General features: G+C 56.0%; 1 protein-coding gene, 1 long non-coding RNA gene and 1 other non-coding gene across 3 annotated transcripts; all 3 read left to right on the top strand.

Moving 5' to 3' along the window:
* Positions 745-7,242, top strand: IHH (Indian hedgehog signaling molecule). Its single transcript, NM_002181.4, has 3 exons — positions 745-1,513; positions 3,972-4,233; positions 5,801-7,242. Exons 1-3 carry the CDS (start codon positions 1,199-1,201, stop codon positions 6,457-6,459), a joined length of 1,236 nt encoding a protein of 411 aa, NP_002172.2. The 5' UTR covers positions 745-1,198; the 3' UTR covers positions 6,460-7,242.
* Positions 2,916-2,978, top strand: MIR3131 (microRNA 3131). The gene has a single exon (NR_036081.1). It is a non-coding gene; the product is annotated as a microRNA 3131 (primary transcript).
* LOC107985987 (uncharacterized) lies at positions 9,843-14,643 on the top strand. The gene is made up of 3 exons (XR_001739887.1): positions 9,843-10,222; positions 12,539-12,600; positions 12,869-14,643. It is a non-coding gene; the product is annotated as an uncharacterized LOC107985987 (long non-coding RNA).

The raw sequence follows: 16,200 nt of genomic DNA, 5'->3' as shown, positions 1-16,200 counted from the left end.
TTTGCTGCCCCTCTTTAACATGGTCAGTCGGGGTTCCTCGGTATTCTGTTGACGTCACCATTTTAGCTACCCTTCTCTGCATATTGACCTATCCCTTTGCAACTTCATATTGTCACTTTCAACAGTGTTTCCAACTTAAAACCCCCTATTTGACTCTTCAAAAGGCTAGACTCCCCATCCCCAGTTTGACACCGACAGGCAGGCTGTGGGATGTGCACCAGGTTGATACAGAACCCAGCTCCACCAAGCTGAAAGGGCGCGTCGCCCGGGCCAGGGTGGGGCACCAGGTTATGAGTGGCCTCCTGCCTTTTGGGTTTGCTTCCCCGCAGGGGACACCGTAGGCGGCTGTGCGGTCCGGCCACTGCCCCCCGCCCCTCGCGTCCGGCCGCGCCGTGGGTTGCGGTCTCCGTGGGGGTGGCAGCTCCTGTCCGGGAGGTTTGCGCCTGGCGGGGCACCCCAGAGCCGCGAAGAGCCGGTAGGCGAGGCCAGGGCGGGGTGGGGCGCGTCCAGGCGGGGAGGGCAAACTCGGGCAGCGCAGGGGGCGCAGAGGGCAGCGGGCGGGCGGACGCGCGGCGGAGGCGCGAGCGGGACGAGGGCTGGCTAGTGCCGGGGCCGCCCGCCCGAGGGGGAGGAGGCTGTGCTGCCCTTGCTGCAGGTTCGCTGTCGAGCGCACAGGAGGCAGGGACATGGGTAGGGTGCGGTCTGCGCGGGGCCCGAGCCCGGATCTCTTCCATTTCCCCTCTCACTCGGCCCCGGGCTGCGCCGCAGACGGCAGCAGCTCCCGCTCCGCCCGAGCCGCCTGACCGCCGGGCCGGGGTGCTAACCGCGGGGCCCTGCAGCCCGCCGGCCCGGCCAGCCCAGCCCAGCCCGGCGGCCCGCAGCCCCGCCGCCCGCCGCCCCCCGCCGCCGCCGCGTTGCCAAAACAAACGGGCCGGCCTATTTATTGGCGGCCGGCGAGCCCGGCAGCTCAGAGTCGAGGCGCCGAGGGGGACAGCGCGCCGCCACCAGCTCGGGCCCTGGGCCCCCGCCCCGCACTTGAGTCCCGCCGGCCCTGGCCGCACCACGCCGCCCATGGCGCCCCCGCCTGGAGCCCCCCGGAGCCACCCGGACGCCTGAGCCCCCGCAGCGCTCCCGTCGACGCGCCTGCCCATCAGCCCACCAGGAGACCTCGCCCGCCGCTCCCCCGGGCTCCCCGGCCATGTCTCCCGCCCGGCTCCGGCCCCGACTGCACTTCTGCCTGGTCCTGTTGCTGCTGCTGGTGGTGCCGGCGGCATGGGGCTGCGGGCCGGGTCGGGTGGTGGGCAGCCGCCGGCGACCGCCACGCAAACTCGTGCCGCTCGCCTACAAGCAGTTCAGCCCCAATGTGCCCGAGAAGACCCTGGGCGCCAGCGGACGCTATGAAGGCAAGATCGCTCGCAGCTCCGAGCGCTTCAAGGAGCTCACCCCCAATTACAATCCAGACATCATCTTCAAGGACGAGGAGAACACAGGCGCCGACCGCCTCATGACCCAGGTGAGCGCGATCCGCCCTACCAGCGCGCCGCCACCGAAGCACGGCCACCTGCCCGGCCCTACCCACCCCCTGGCACATTTTCTCGACTGGCTGGCACGCTCCCTGGCACCTGCCCCTCTCGCCAAGCCCCGCTGCCTCCTGCCCAAGATGGGCTGGCCAGGGGTCCAGGCAGGAGTGTCGGCATCCCCAAGCCCGGAGGAGACTGCTAGAAGAGCTCCCCGCTGCCAAGCCCCACAGCCCAGCAGGTTGGCGGCGGCTCCTCTGCCCCAAAGTACTGGCAGCTCAGCCAGACGCTGCACCCGGAGGTACCTCTACCCGGCTGCCTCCTGCGCCTCCAGGACCCACGCAGTCCCTCCCGGCCTAACCTTCTGCACAGCTGTGCCCCTTTCATTTTGAAACTTTTCGGCACCCCTGAGGCAAAGAATCTCTGGGTGCGTAGGGTCACCACGGCCTTTCCTCCCTGTGCGCTCTTGGTTCTACGGGCTGCCCCTTCCAGGAGCAGCGTCCCGGCTGGGTCTGGGGTTAAGAACAGCGAGGAAGAGTTGAATCGGGAGGCGGAGGTGGGAAAAGGAACCTGCCCAGCGAGCCCACGTGTCTGTCCGGAGAGCTGAGGGGTGCTACTGCGGTGGAAGGGTGGGTTATTGGGGCCTTCGGGCTCTGGGACTGAGCTTAGGGGATTCCTGGGCTTGGTGGTGGGGACGGGAAGGAGTGGAAAAGAGGGGCTGAGATGCCGAGGGAGGCAGGGACCAGGGCTGACGCTAGTCTCTGCATGCTGGAGTAGGACCCGCGCTCCACCCAAGCTTAGAGGCGCAAATTCCTTCCCAGCAGCCAGGTCCGCGAGGGGAGAGACCTTCACCCCCTTCCTTCGGGGTCTCCCGAGGCTTCCCCCTGAAAGCAGGCCCCTGGCTTTCTAGATCCGTTGGGAAGAGCAGCTAGACTCAGGGCCCTCAGCATGCACCCTGGCGCCGGGGCTGGCCGGCCAGTGTCGGGGCCGAAGGTTGGCTGGTGGCCGGGCCGGGCCGGGCGCCGAGGAATGCAGATAAGGATCCGGGCCACGGGCTGGGCAATCATTGACAGCGCACGCCCGGGCTCTGGACCCGAGAGGGGGCGGTGGCAGTGAGGGAGAGAGGCGGGGAACCAGGGCTGCAGGCGGGCATAGGTGCGGGGCTAGAAGCCTGACGGCAGGGTCTACGAAGGAGCAAGCGGAGCTCCCTCCCTGGGCAGTAAGCACCCCCAGCCAGGCTGTGCACCAGCGAGGACCTGCGAGGCCCTGGGTTGTAGCTGCTATTGGCTCCTAGGAAGGCTGAGTCCAAGGGTCTGTGAGGCCCGGGCTCTGCAGGGTGGGGGTAGGTTGAGACTTGGGCTGCCCACACTTGTTGGCGCCTCGAATCTCAGAGTCTCAGAGTCGAGGACTGGTGGAAGGGCCTTTCCCCTCAGACCAAGGCCCTGGCCCCAGCTTCTTCTCAGAGTCAGCTGCACAGTCTCTTGGGCTCTCAGGACCCAGGCACACCAGGAGGCAGCAACCAAGGATGACCGCTTCGGTCCTTCCCCCAGGGCGCGGCTCTACCCCAACTCCACGTGAGGAGGATGGTGGAGCTGGCTCCCTGAGATCAGAAGCTTGGTTTATGGAGTTCCTTCCTACGGTATAGGGGCGGGGCACCGGTGCAGAGGTCCTGGAGGTCTGGGATTGTCAGCCCCTTTTGCGCCTTGCAGAGGAAGACGTTGCATGTGGCCCCCCATTGGGCGGCCCTGGCGCTAATCCGCCGGTTTCTGGTTCCCTGGCCCTGTCATCTCTGGCGGGGTTGTGGGCCGGTTTAAGATTATAAGAGGGTCCCGGCGGGAATCCTCGGTGGTGCTCGAGGGATCCAGGCAGGCCGGCGATTCCCCTCCAACACACCCCCTGAAGCTACCGAGACGCTCTGCACCTGCCGCGCCTCCAGAGCCTGTCGTCCCCAGGCCTCAGCCCTGAGGCTGCGGTGACACCTACTGGGCACCTCGGGCCTTGCACGCCTCGCAGGCCGGCCGCAGGCAGTCGGCTCTGCTGCCACTCCTCCCTCCCGGCCGCTGGCTGGCCCTCCTGCCTTGGAGGCACAGAGGGACCGGGCGCTGAAAGGTGTAGTCCTGTCTGTGGAGGGATGGATACCCGGAGCTGAAGACAGCACAGGAGAGAGGGGACCTCCACCTACCAGTGAAGGCGCCGCCAGGGCGCTTGCCTCCATGCCTCCTCCAGATTTGTGATACCGCCGTGCGGTCCAGATCCCCGGGGGCGGCTGTATGCTAGGGAGGGAGCACTTCAGGGCCCTCTGTTCCTAAGGGAGAGGGACAGCACCCTCCCGGGCTTCCAGCTCCCTTGGGTGTGGCGGGAGAGTTCTGGGCGAGGCTGCGCCTACACCTGCACCTCGGCCGGCTCCTCCGGCTGATTTCGCTCTGGTTGATTTCGCGCACATTCCTCTCCCAGCGCTGCAAGGACCGCCTGAACTCGCTGGCTATCTCGGTGATGAACCAGTGGCCCGGTGTGAAGCTGCGGGTGACCGAGGGCTGGGACGAGGACGGCCACCACTCAGAGGAGTCCCTGCATTATGAGGGCCGCGCGGTGGACATCACCACATCAGACCGCGACCGCAATAAGTATGGACTGCTGGCGCGCTTGGCAGTGGAGGCCGGCTTTGACTGGGTGTATTACGAGTCAAAGGCCCACGTGCATTGCTCCGTCAAGTCCGGTGAGCCGCCGCCGGGGGGCTGGGCCCGGGGCCGGGGCCGCAGGGCATGGGCAGGAGGAGTAGTGCCGAGAAGGTGAAGAGCCCGCCCGGGGATGGAGGCAGGGATCCGGGGGAAGAGGACATCAGCGGCGCTCTCCAAGGCTGCTCCTGACCGTGACTGCCTGCTCATCCCATGCCTGGCAGTGTCATGGTAGGAGCCTAGGGCGATAGGGCCCTGTCCCAGGGCTGCTGGGTGCTGACCTGGTGGCCCACAGTCCAGAGCCTGCCACAGGAGGTGCAAGACAGAGCAAGCTGGACAGATGGAGGAAGCCAGGCTGCCAGACAAGGCCTCCCCACCCCACCTGGCACAGAACAAGGCGGGTGGTGGGGCCAGGAGCCGGGGTATGCCCAGACACCTGCATGCCTGACCAGGAGCCCAGAGGCTCAGAACCCACCACCCAGCTGCAGGTCAGCCCTCCCTGGGGCGCAGGCGTCCCCAACCTCTCCCCCTGTGCCCTGAAGCTGGACATTTTGGGGCAAAGCCAGCCAGGAGAGCCAGACTAAACAAAGTGGACTCAATAAAGTGGATTTTCCCAGATTGGCCGCATTGTTGATCAGAATTGGCAGGCACTGGGGCCTCACCCCTCCCTCAAGTCTTGTCAGCACCCTGTCACCTACACTGAACCCAGCCATGGAGGCTCCAAATGGTTCCTGTGTGGCTCCCAGCCAAGCCCCACCTGGCTGCCGGCTCAGCCTTTCACACTGGCAGCGTGTAATAGTTGCACTCTCATAGACCCGCACACTGAGCCCAGGCCCACATTTTGATATTCCTGACCCTACCCTGACCCACAACCACACCCTGAACCTTCCACTCAATACTTCCCCTGCCAACTGTGTCTACTGCAAGGCCCATCCACCCTTCACTGCAAACATTGACCCACGACAACCACTTCCATTCATTACTCCTGACCCCCAAACACTGTTCTCCAGCTCACCTGCTGATGCCGCAGTGTTCTGTCCCTGCACAGGGACTCAGCATGTGAACTGAAGATGGTGACTGTGTCCTCGCCCCTGGCCTGCCCCTGACCCAAACATTCACTCCGAGGCTGCCCAGGAGTCTGCCTTTGCCCCACTGGGTGGGCTCCTCTCACATCCCTACATTCAAAGGTCCAGCTCTGTTACAGAACCTGGGGAGTCAGCCTGAGAGGGCAATTTTTGGGAAGTGTCTGAGCAAGGGGTGAGAAATAACAGAACATCTAGGCCTCGGAGGAGCTAAGCAACCTCCCCCTTCCATGAGGTAGCCCTTTCCTTCTCATCCACTGGGTCTTGGAGCCCCACTATGCTCCTTGGCAAGGTATTAGGCTGGGGAGGGGGGTCACAGAAGATCACATTGGAGTAAGGGGATGGGGGCAGTGAAGTATGGGTTCAAGCCTGCATAGGAAGTGGGGGGCAGGAGCTGGGATATGGTGACGGGGGCTCTCTGGGAGCAAGAGGAGCTCTGGCTGGCTGGGGTGGCCAAGGGAGGGTCGTTGTGACCAGGAGGCTGAGCTGCACAGCAGTAACACCTTCATGTCCCTTTCTCCCACAGAGCACTCGGCCGCAGCCAAGACGGGCGGCTGCTTCCCTGCCGGAGCCCAGGTACGCCTGGAGAGTGGGGCGCGTGTGGCCTTGTCAGCCGTGAGGCCGGGAGACCGTGTGCTGGCCATGGGGGAGGATGGGAGCCCCACCTTCAGCGATGTGCTCATTTTCCTGGACCGCGAGCCTCACAGGCTGAGAGCCTTCCAGGTCATCGAGACTCAGGACCCCCCACGCCGCCTGGCACTCACACCCGCTCACCTGCTCTTTACGGCTGACAATCACACGGAGCCGGCAGCCCGCTTCCGGGCCACATTTGCCAGCCACGTGCAGCCTGGCCAGTACGTGCTGGTGGCTGGGGTGCCAGGCCTGCAGCCTGCCCGCGTGGCAGCTGTCTCTACACACGTGGCCCTCGGGGCCTACGCCCCGCTCACAAAGCATGGGACACTGGTGGTGGAGGATGTGGTGGCATCCTGCTTCGCGGCCGTGGCTGACCACCACCTGGCTCAGTTGGCCTTCTGGCCCCTGAGACTCTTTCACAGCTTGGCATGGGGCAGCTGGACTCCGGGGGAGGGTGTGCATTGGTACCCCCAGCTGCTCTACCGCCTGGGGCGTCTCCTGCTAGAAGAGGGCAGCTTCCACCCACTGGGCATGTCCGGGGCAGGGAGCTGAAAGGACTCCACCGCTGCCCTCCTGGAACTGCTGTACTGGGTCCAGAAGCCTCTCAGCCAGGAGGGAGCTGGCCCTGGAAGGGACCTGAGCTGGGGGACACTGGCTCCTGCCATCTCCTCTGCCATGAAGATACACCATTGAGACTTGACTGGGCAACACCAGCGTCCCCCACCCCCGTCGTGGTGTAGTCATAGAGCTGCAAGCTGAGCTGGCGAGGGGATGGTTGTTGACCCCTCTCTCCTAGAGACCTTGAGGCTGGCACGGCGACTCCCAACTCAGCCTGCTCTCACTACGAGTTTTCATACTCTGCCTCCCCCATTGGGGAGGGCCCATTCCATCCATCTTAGGCCCCTTTGGGTGGGCTTGCGCCTCAGTTGATGCTGCTAAATTCCCTGGGAGCCAGCATGGATCTGGCTGGACCCGATGCTGTCCAGAACTGGGAAGGCCACAGGGGTGGGGCAGCCATCCCGGCCATTCTGAGGTATGACATTCCTCCCCGGCCACACTCCTCAAGACACATCCAGAGACTGTTGCTGTCTGTGGGCAGAGTTCTGTGTTCTGGCCAATGTGACCGTAGTGCCGGGGACTGGGGGAGGTGGGTTGGATGTGCTTGCCACCCCCCCGGCTAAGCTCCCCCTTCTGCTGAACCATGATCCCCACCCCCTCCGCCGGTCAGTCTCCCATACCTTATTTATTGGAGTGGAGGGGGAAGCCCATGGGAGAATTTTGGGGATGTTTTGGTCTTTTCTTCCTTTTGTAATAAAAATTATTTAAGTTGTTAGAGCCACAGAGTCCAGGATGCTCACAGATAGTTTGGAGCCCTGGAAGGTTGTGTCCAGGGTTTTCTCCCCTCCTCGGAGAGGCCTGGCTCACCTTCCTCCAAGGACAAAAACTCCAGGCCTCCCACCCTCACTGCAGGTCCATTCCCACCCAGTAGCTCTGCAAAGCCCCTACAGAGAGCTGTGCTCTGCACAGGGCAGGACCTTCCCACACTGACCTCACCATTTACCCCAAACAAGGATGGACCCGAGAGAGAACAGAGTTGACTAGTCCATGGTCACCTTACTCATCTATAACCATGCCCTTGTGCTCTCAGGGCCTGGGCTTCTGACTCTTCCCTGTTGGTAATGGACCACAGTGTGAAAAGATTCTGTAAAATTCACGTTGTCTTGTGGGCTATTCTGACTTCTCGGACAGGTCAGAGATCCCTAATCTAGCAGTTCTCAAATGTCAGGATCACCTGGGAAGCTTGTTTAAAGATGATTCCTGGCCCCACTTCCAGGATTCCACTTTTTTTTTTTTTTTTTTTTTTGAGACAGAGTCTTACTCTATTGGCCAGGCTGGAGTGCAGTAGCGCAATCTTGGCTCACTGCAATCTCTGCCTCCTGGGTTCACACCATTCTCCTGCCTCAGCCTCCTGAGTAGGTGGGACTACAGGCACACGCCACCATGCCTGGCTAATTTTTATTTGTATTTTTACTGGAGACGGGGTTTCACCGTGTTAGCCAGGATGGTCTCGATCTCATGTCCTTGTGATCCACCCACCTCAGCCTCCCAAAGTGCTGGGATTACAGGCAGGAGCCACCACGCCCGGCCCAGGATTCCACTTTAATAGATCCAGTGCAAAGCCCAGGAGCTTAGTTTTGCAAACACCCCAAACATGGCAGATGGTCCATGGGCCACACTCAAGAACTGCTGCTTAGTCCAGAGGAGGCCTGGTTTACTGCCAAGACAGCATGACCCCCTTCTTTACTTTCCCTCCATCTCTCCATCCCAAGGCAAGTTTTTCTATACTCGCTATAGATAAGCTGAGATTCTAGGTCCAGTGGTACAAAATTTTCAGGAGTTTTGTGAGTCAGTTGAAATAGGCACAGTGGCCATAGAACTCTGGAAACTGGCAGAGACTACCAATTAGGGTTTCCCCCCACCTTGGGGAGCCAGTTGTTGAAGTGTGCCACTGCCCAGGCTCTGCCCTTTTACACAGATGTCTGTGTTGAAAGTGGTGGGGATGACTGTTCAGACTCTTAGTTTACCCTGTCCTCACATCCACTGAAGAAAATGCCAGAGAAAACCATTATTCTGGGGTCTGTGTCATCTGGAGAAATAGGGCCCCACTGGCTGTACTGATAACTGCTATCATTTTTGATGACTAACCATTGCTAGGCATTATTCTAGATCTTTACACTCAGTAGGCCACTTAGTGCTCATAATGACCCTATGTGGTGTGTACTTTATTTAATATTACCACTTTCCAGAAAAGAACACAGAGGCACAGGGAGGTTAAGAAACTTGCCCAGGAGTACACAAGAAGCGACAGAAGCAGAATTTGAATCCTTCCAGACTGGCTCTTGGGTCCATTGTTTTTATCCCCAAGCTTTTCCCCTGGGGAACTCAGGTTCTCTCTGGTAGGTCGCACTCAGCATTTGAGGTCTGGAAATCTGCTTTGTCAACACATCTAGAGTGGACCCATCTCTCTGTGGCAGACTCTTACTGACCAGGCTCACAGGGACCAAAATGTTCATGAACTCATTCACAGTGAGAAATAACAGGCCAAGGTCAAGATGCTCTTGTCCATTCATTCACACATTCTCTCCATGTAGACATTCTACCTGGGAGATCAGATTGTGGTGACAAGTTGTTGGTGAGTGTGGATGCATGCAGTAGATGACTCTCCAGCTCATGGAGGAAGGAGTGGGGGGATGCCTCTCCTGCTGGGGTTGGGCACATGTGGTCCAGCAGACACAGAGCCATTTGGTGTCCTTAGACCTTTCTGTTCTAGATGGGCCTCCTCAGGGAACAAATTCATTCTTCAGACAAAGATTGCAAAGATTCAGCAAAGAACTTTGTACGAATTCAGGCCCTCAAAAGAACAAATTTGGGGTGGGAGTGAGACCCTACAGCTTTTCCTGGAATTCTGGGCCCAGATATGAAGAAACAAGGAGACAGTCTGGAGATCATCTTTCACATCTGCAGTGTGGTGGCCCAAATCTCTCCCATCCTCTGTACAGTGCTGAGACCCAGAGGAGGGTCATTTGCACCACCCAGACCCAGGCAGTGCAGATCCAATGCCTGCTTCTCCACTTGGGCCCAAGCTTAGCCCCCAAGGCTGCTGCATCCAGAACTGTGATGTTCGCTCATAGTCAATGCTTATTTTATTTTATTTTATTTATTTTTTGAGACAGGGTCTCATTCTGTCACCCAGGATGGAGTGCAGTGGCAAGATCTCGGCTCACTGCAGCCTCTGCCTTAGGTTCAAGCAATTCTCCTGCCTCAGCCTCCCGAGTAGCTGGGATTACAGGCGTGTGCCATACCAAACCCAGTTAATTTTTTGTATTTTTAGTAGAGATGGGGTTTTGCCATGTTGGCCAGGCTGGTCTCAAATTCCTGGCCTCAAATGATCTGCCCACCTCAGCCTCCCAAAGTGCTGAGATTACAGACGTGAGCCACCGCGGCCGGCCAATCTCATAGTCAATGTTAATGGATGCCACTCCATGTCAGGCACTGTGCCTGAGTTGGGGAAAAGAGGCAGTGCCTGCCCTCAGTAAACTCCTAAGTTGGGAGGGAGAAGTGTGGGAGACAGGGATATCCACATGGTGCACTAACTGCTGTGGCTGACATCCTCACAGTGGCTACTGAAGCACCATGGAGTGGCTGGTGACTAGGAAGACTTCCTGAAGACGAGGATGCTACAAATGGGGCAAGAAGGAGTTTTCCTGGCAGGCATGTGGAAGAGATCCAGGCTAAGGACATAGTTAAATAAAAGGTTTGGGGGCTTGAGGGCTTAGAGGAACCACCATTAGGCCAGCATGGTAAAGCTATGTGGGTCACGTGGGCTTGGCAAAAGCCAAAGTGGAGAGGTAGGCAGGAGGCAGATGACACAGAGCCTGTGTTGCACGCAATAGGACTCAATCCCAGGGGCCCTCAAACAGGGGAAGCTCATGACTAGGTTGCTTCCAAAAGCTCATCTGGCTACAGTATGGAGGGCAGACCAGAGAGGACAATCATGGAAGCACTACTGGGGAGTTGGTGTCCTAGACCAGGGAAGTGGCTCTAGGGTCATAAAGAAGGTGATGGATTGTAGATACTTAGGCAATAGAATGGCCAGGATGGAAGCCAGGGTTGGATGAGCGAGGGGGATGAGAAAAGGGCCCAAGTCAACTTTGGGGGTTTTAAGTAGGAAATCCAGCTCCCCCACCACCAGCATCCTTGACCTTGAACCTTGGTCTTCTTTGGCTTTAGTGGCTGCACCTGTAAGGGTGATGTCCAGGGCTTTCCTATATAGATATACTCTCTCCCTGTCATCCAAGGGTCTACTGGGGTTCAAGGGACCCTCCAGGCACCTGTTCTGTCTGCCTGCCTCTCTGCTCTATCTTGGAAATGCATGGGAAAGAAATTCAGAGTAGCCTCTGCTATCCCAGTCCAGGCAAAATGCAAGAACTATGCCTAAGTCCACAGGTCCCTGGGAGGACCTGGAGTGTCAGGGTCCAGGAGTCACAGTGGGGGAACTTCCTGGCTGCGAGGCATCTGGAGCTGCCTGGGCCAGTTACCTTCTATAGAAGCTCACTGCACCCTGGTTCCCCTATCTGGCTGTGCTGGGGCCTCTCCGTAAGTACCCTTCCTCAAGCTGGCCTTACAGCCTTCTCTCTTTTGTTTGGAAAGCCCCACTCACTGCTGGCATGGCTCTTTGGAAGCCCTGCAGGCCTGCACTCAGCCATCTTCCCTAAGAGACACAGGTCTCAGGGTGGAATGGCTTCTGACAGTGAGTGGTCCTGTGTTGGAAAGGGCTGAACCCAATGCACACGTCCTTTAGGCAGCAGAGCCTGCTGCTAGCACCTATGCCACCTGTGTGGGAACTGGAAATAGGAGCCCTCCATTGAAATATTTAGTAAGAAGTGCCCCCTCAGGGATACTCAACTAGAAAAGGCAGCTCTCCTGGTCTGGTGCCAGGAGCAGGAAGTCCATTTAGAAGAGACTCTAGCCCAGGGTATATGCTGGGGCTTTCAGAGCGTGTCTGGATTTCAGTCCCCCTGCTCCCTCAGCCTAGAGCCCTTGTGCAGTGTACAACTTTTACAACCATCAATTCTGGTCCTGGTGGGCCTGGGCTTCTGCCAGGCTCAGCAGATTCTGCCAGGGATGAAGATTCAGAGAGAAGCTACATACAGTGTGACGCCAGAGGAAGTGCAGAGTGATTAGACAGGACTGGGGGCAGGATGCGCAATGCTCAGAGACTTCCTGGGGTTGGTGTTGGCCTGGGTCTTCAGGGGTATGAGTGACTTGGGCAAGGGCAGGTGGGTGTATCATCAGGAGCAGATGTACAGAGGGGAAGTTCAGGGCATGCCCAGGGACTGGGAGCCAGTGTAGTTGGGGCTAGAAGTTTGATGAGGGGAGACTTCAAAATGGGAGGTAGGGGAGGGAAATGCTGTATCCCATGGCAAGAGTGGAGTTGAGGGCCTGGAGGGAAATGCCCCAGCGGGTAGTGCCCCAAAGAAGGCTGGGCTCCAGCAATGGAGGCCTTCTCTGGAGAACATAGACCCAGCTTCCCACCTGGAGGGGCGCCCCTTCAGGGCAAACCTCCTTGGCAGGGTAGGTGGTGGCAGCTCCCCAGCCTGTGCCCTCTGGCCCCTGGGTGGTTGTGCCTTCTGAGGCTCAGCCCCACCTCCCACACCTCAGCCTGGTTCTCAAAGCCTCTTTGTTTTATGGGGCCAAGTGGTGGGGAGCCCGGATCTGATAAGGCTCAGTTGGGTAGATATAGCCCCTCCCTGAGTGCCTCACCGGCCTGAGTCACACCTGCTGCCTGGCACGCATGCACATCCCATCTACCCCAGCTGGGCCTTCTGCCCAGCTGGGCCAGGGTTTGACCTCTGGGCTGGCCTTCCCTGCAGCCTATTCAAGAGCTCTCTCGTCCGTATGGGGAAGCAGAATAGGGGAATTATTACCCACATTTCAGAGATAAGTAAAGCAAGGCCCCAAGAGGGAAAATGCCTTGCCCACAGCCATTTCTCCCATAATCTACTATGCACCTACTATCGATTAGGTGCACTACGTGTGGTATTTACATGATCTTTTCTCATCCTAACAGTGTGTGACATGAAGTTGTTCCTAATTCCTACTTTGCAGTTGAAGAAACAGAGGCCCACAGAGGTGAAGTCATTTTCTTAAAATCAAACATTAGCAGACCAGAACCCGGGTCTCCAGCAGCAGCAAACCAAGGGGATGGGAGGGACATACTCCTCACCTCAGCCTAAAGGACTGATGAGCCTGGGAGTAACCAGAACCCTGTTAGAGAAGGGAGTCCTGGAGGAATAATGTTCTAAGTGCTGTGAGGAGATCTAGGATAGGGTTGGGTGGCAGGGGCGGTGGGGGGGACGGTCAAAATATGTCCACAAATTCTTTGACACTTCTCCTGTAGAGATGCCGGGTCTACCTCAAATCTGATCTGAGGCTAGGTCAGAAAGGCCATGCAGCTTCTGCCTGATTCTACACTAAGACCGCCATGCTGGAGAGTGTGTGCACCTAACCTATAGAGAGGTGTTCCAGTCCATGGTCCAGCTGACATCCCAGCTAACAGCCAGAGCCAATTGTCAGCCATGGGAGTGCGCCATATTGGATATTCAGCCCAGTTGGGTTGGCTGCAGATGGCTGCAGCCCTGGCCAACTTCTGAATGCAACCACATGAGAGACCCCAAGCTAGAGCTACATGGCCAAGCTGCTTCTGAATTCCTGACTCACAAAACCACAAAATAAAATGGCTGTTTGGAACCTTGACATTTTGGAGTAACTCCTTACACAGCAATAGTAACCAGGACAAAGGGCAAAGAGGGAATGTGGACTAATGAAGGCATCTCCTGAGGCTTTCCAGAGCCTCAAAACACAGTTTGGCACAAAGGCTTTTTAAAATGGAGATTGCATGAGCCTGGAGGAGGTGTGGCCTAACCCTTTGTCATCTGAAGGGGCAGCACAAGAAAACTCTGAAATGGAATAAACTCGGGGCAGATGGAGGTGGTGACAAAGGGGAGGATTGGATGAGCGCATCTCTCCATATTCAGTTGATTGAAAAAATCAACTGTACGTCTGCCCTTCTGGCAGGACCTCTGCAGAAGTGAGGAGCTTTGCAGTGATTCTAGAAGGAAGGAAGCTCATGGATACAAGCTTGTGATTAGCAAGAAGTTATACATGGCTGATTGGAGAGAAATGCGATTAGAGATTTTTAAAACCCAAACGTCAAATGTTGAAGAAAGTGCTCAAGGGTTGCAGACAGAGCTGGGAATGGGGTTGGACATGCCTGTGGTCCATTGCTGGTCACATTTGCTCAGAATGTCCCTGCAAGCAGAAAATGCAGGACCTCAGCAAGAAGGTTCAGAAAGTACCCTGTTCCCCTAACAAACTCCAGGTGCATCTGCATCTGGCTTCTGCACACACTTCTGAATGGCCAACTTGGAAAAACTCAGAGGAAAGGAACCAGGTAGGTGATAAGGAATGGGTGTGGCTTGGGAGAGTGGGAGTGTAGGGGTGGAAAGGATAGTGTGAGGACAGGGTTCTTGGTTTCAACCTATTAATCCTAGAGAAGCAAAAGATGGGGATGACCAAAATCTAAAAAGAGAGAGAAATAGAAACTTTACAGTGGAGAATCCCAACAGATACCACTTTAGCCAAGTTATCAAGTTAGCATCACTGATAATACATATCAACACTATGATATAGTGCTCTGAGAAGGTAATATCACCTCTGTGTTATCCTCACTCTAATCATGAGAAATCATGACACAAACCCAGAATGAACCTTTTACAAAATAACTGACAGTATTCTTGAAAAGAGTTAAGTCATGGAAGGCAAGGAAAGACTCAGGATACAGTGAAGGATACTAAGTAGGCATGAAAACTAACTGCCAAGTGGGATCCTCAGTTAGCTACTGGAAAAGGAATAGAACACTAATGGACAAACTTGAGAAATCTAAATGCCATACTTTTGTTAATAGCGTTTGTGTATCAACATATCAAGGTTAATTTCCTGGTTTTGTTCTATGGTGATGTAAGATGTTAATGTAAGGGAAAGGTGGGAGAAGTGTTTATGAAAACTGTCTGTACTATTTTCGTGACTCTTTGGTACATCTAAAATTAACTCCGCAGGAGTGGTGGCTCACTCCTGTAATCCCAGCACTTTGAGAGGCCGAGACAAGAAGATCACTTGAGCCCAGGAGTTGAAGACCAGCCTGGGGAACATGGCGAAACTCCATCTCCACAACAAAAGTACAAAAAAAAAAATTAGTCTGGCATGGTGGCGCGCACCTGTAGTCCCAGCTACTGGTGGTGGCAGATTGGGTGGGGGTTAGGGGGTGATGTAGGAGGATCGCTTGAGCCCAGGAGGTCAAGGCTGCAGTGAGCCATGATTGTGCCACTGTACTCCAGCCTGGGCAACAGAAGAAAACCCTATCTTGGTAACAATAATAATAATTTTAAAAAGAAAAATAATAAAATGAACTTGAAATTTTTAAAATGCAAAAATAACTAACAAACACAGAATCTCATGGACCAGTCAAAGGTGGGCTCTCTTGCCATACCTGAGTCCAGGCTGACTTCCACACTGAGGAAGGCCAGCCACACTGAGCCGGTGAGATGGCTCTAGTCAGAAGTGGACTGGAAAAACGTTTGAGGAATTAAGTAAGATGGAAAGTCACAGAATAATAAGTCTTCTTCATTTACTCAGAACCTGTAATGGACCAGGCACTGTGCTAAGTTTCTTAATTCTTTTGTCTCCCATAAACCTCATAACCTTTGAGGTAGCAGTTATAGGTTTGCCTGTTTACAGATAAGGAACCTGGTTCTTATAGAAATGAAGGAAAAGATTATATAGTTGATAGCTGATGGTGTTGGGATGAAAATTCCAGTCTGCTTGGCTCCAGAGTCTTTTTCCTAGCCACTCCACTGTACTGTCTCCTCAGGGATGTTCTCATTCAGTTCAGACCTCGGGATTTCTGCATTAGGGTAAGTGGAGAAAGAGGCGATAGAAGGTTGGAGGAAGGAGGAAGGGGGATGGCCTGGCCAGCGGGAGCTGTCCGTGGTGCTGGTCATAGAGCCAGCTGGAGACTGCGTAGGTGAAGGCAGCAGAGAGAGCTACCACAGAAAAGGAGCAATGCTTAGACTAGAAGAAAACAAGCAGTTAGCTGTGCTCACAGTTCCTCCCCCAGGGAGGAGGATCAAGAAGGGGAAGGACTTCCAGTTGAAATAACCGTGTATGCAGTAGCTAATAAGGTAGGGATTTACCCCTAAGTCTGACTTGCACCCAGTACAGTATGGCTATACTGGTTGTTTATATCTGGAAATACTTCGGTGCCAGTTGGCAAACAGTCACTTACTGAGCCCTTCATTGCCCTGGACGCTCTTCCAGTCCCCTCCCTAAACTACTCATGCTTCCTTATGACCCTGGCACAATGTGGGCTTCCAGGACCCTGGCTCTGGCTCTAAGGCCAGCTGGTGTACGGCTCACAGGTCCATTCTCATGCTCATAGGTGCACACACCTTCCCAATTGTTAAGTATTTTGATTACACTCCTGTTTGTTCCCATTTTACAGATGAGGAAAGTCAGGTTTAGGGAGGTTTAACCATTTTCCTGACATTGCTCAGTTATTAAAAGCTGGAACCAGGATTTGAACTTGAGTTTTCTGAGATTAGACTTCATGTCATTTTTCCTCCTTCCCCCTACGATTAGCTTGTATGTCTTTCTACCCTGTGGTGGAGACAATGA

The sequence above is a fragment of the Homo sapiens genome, chromosome 2, assembly GCF_000001405.40.
Source record: "Homo sapiens chromosome 2, GRCh38.p14 Primary Assembly".
In the NCBI taxonomy this organism is placed as follows: Eukaryota; Metazoa; Chordata; class Mammalia; order Primates; family Hominidae; genus Homo; species Homo sapiens.
The sequence above is the reverse complement of the archived record's forward strand: the minus strand, read 5'-3'. Positions and strand labels throughout refer to the sequence as shown.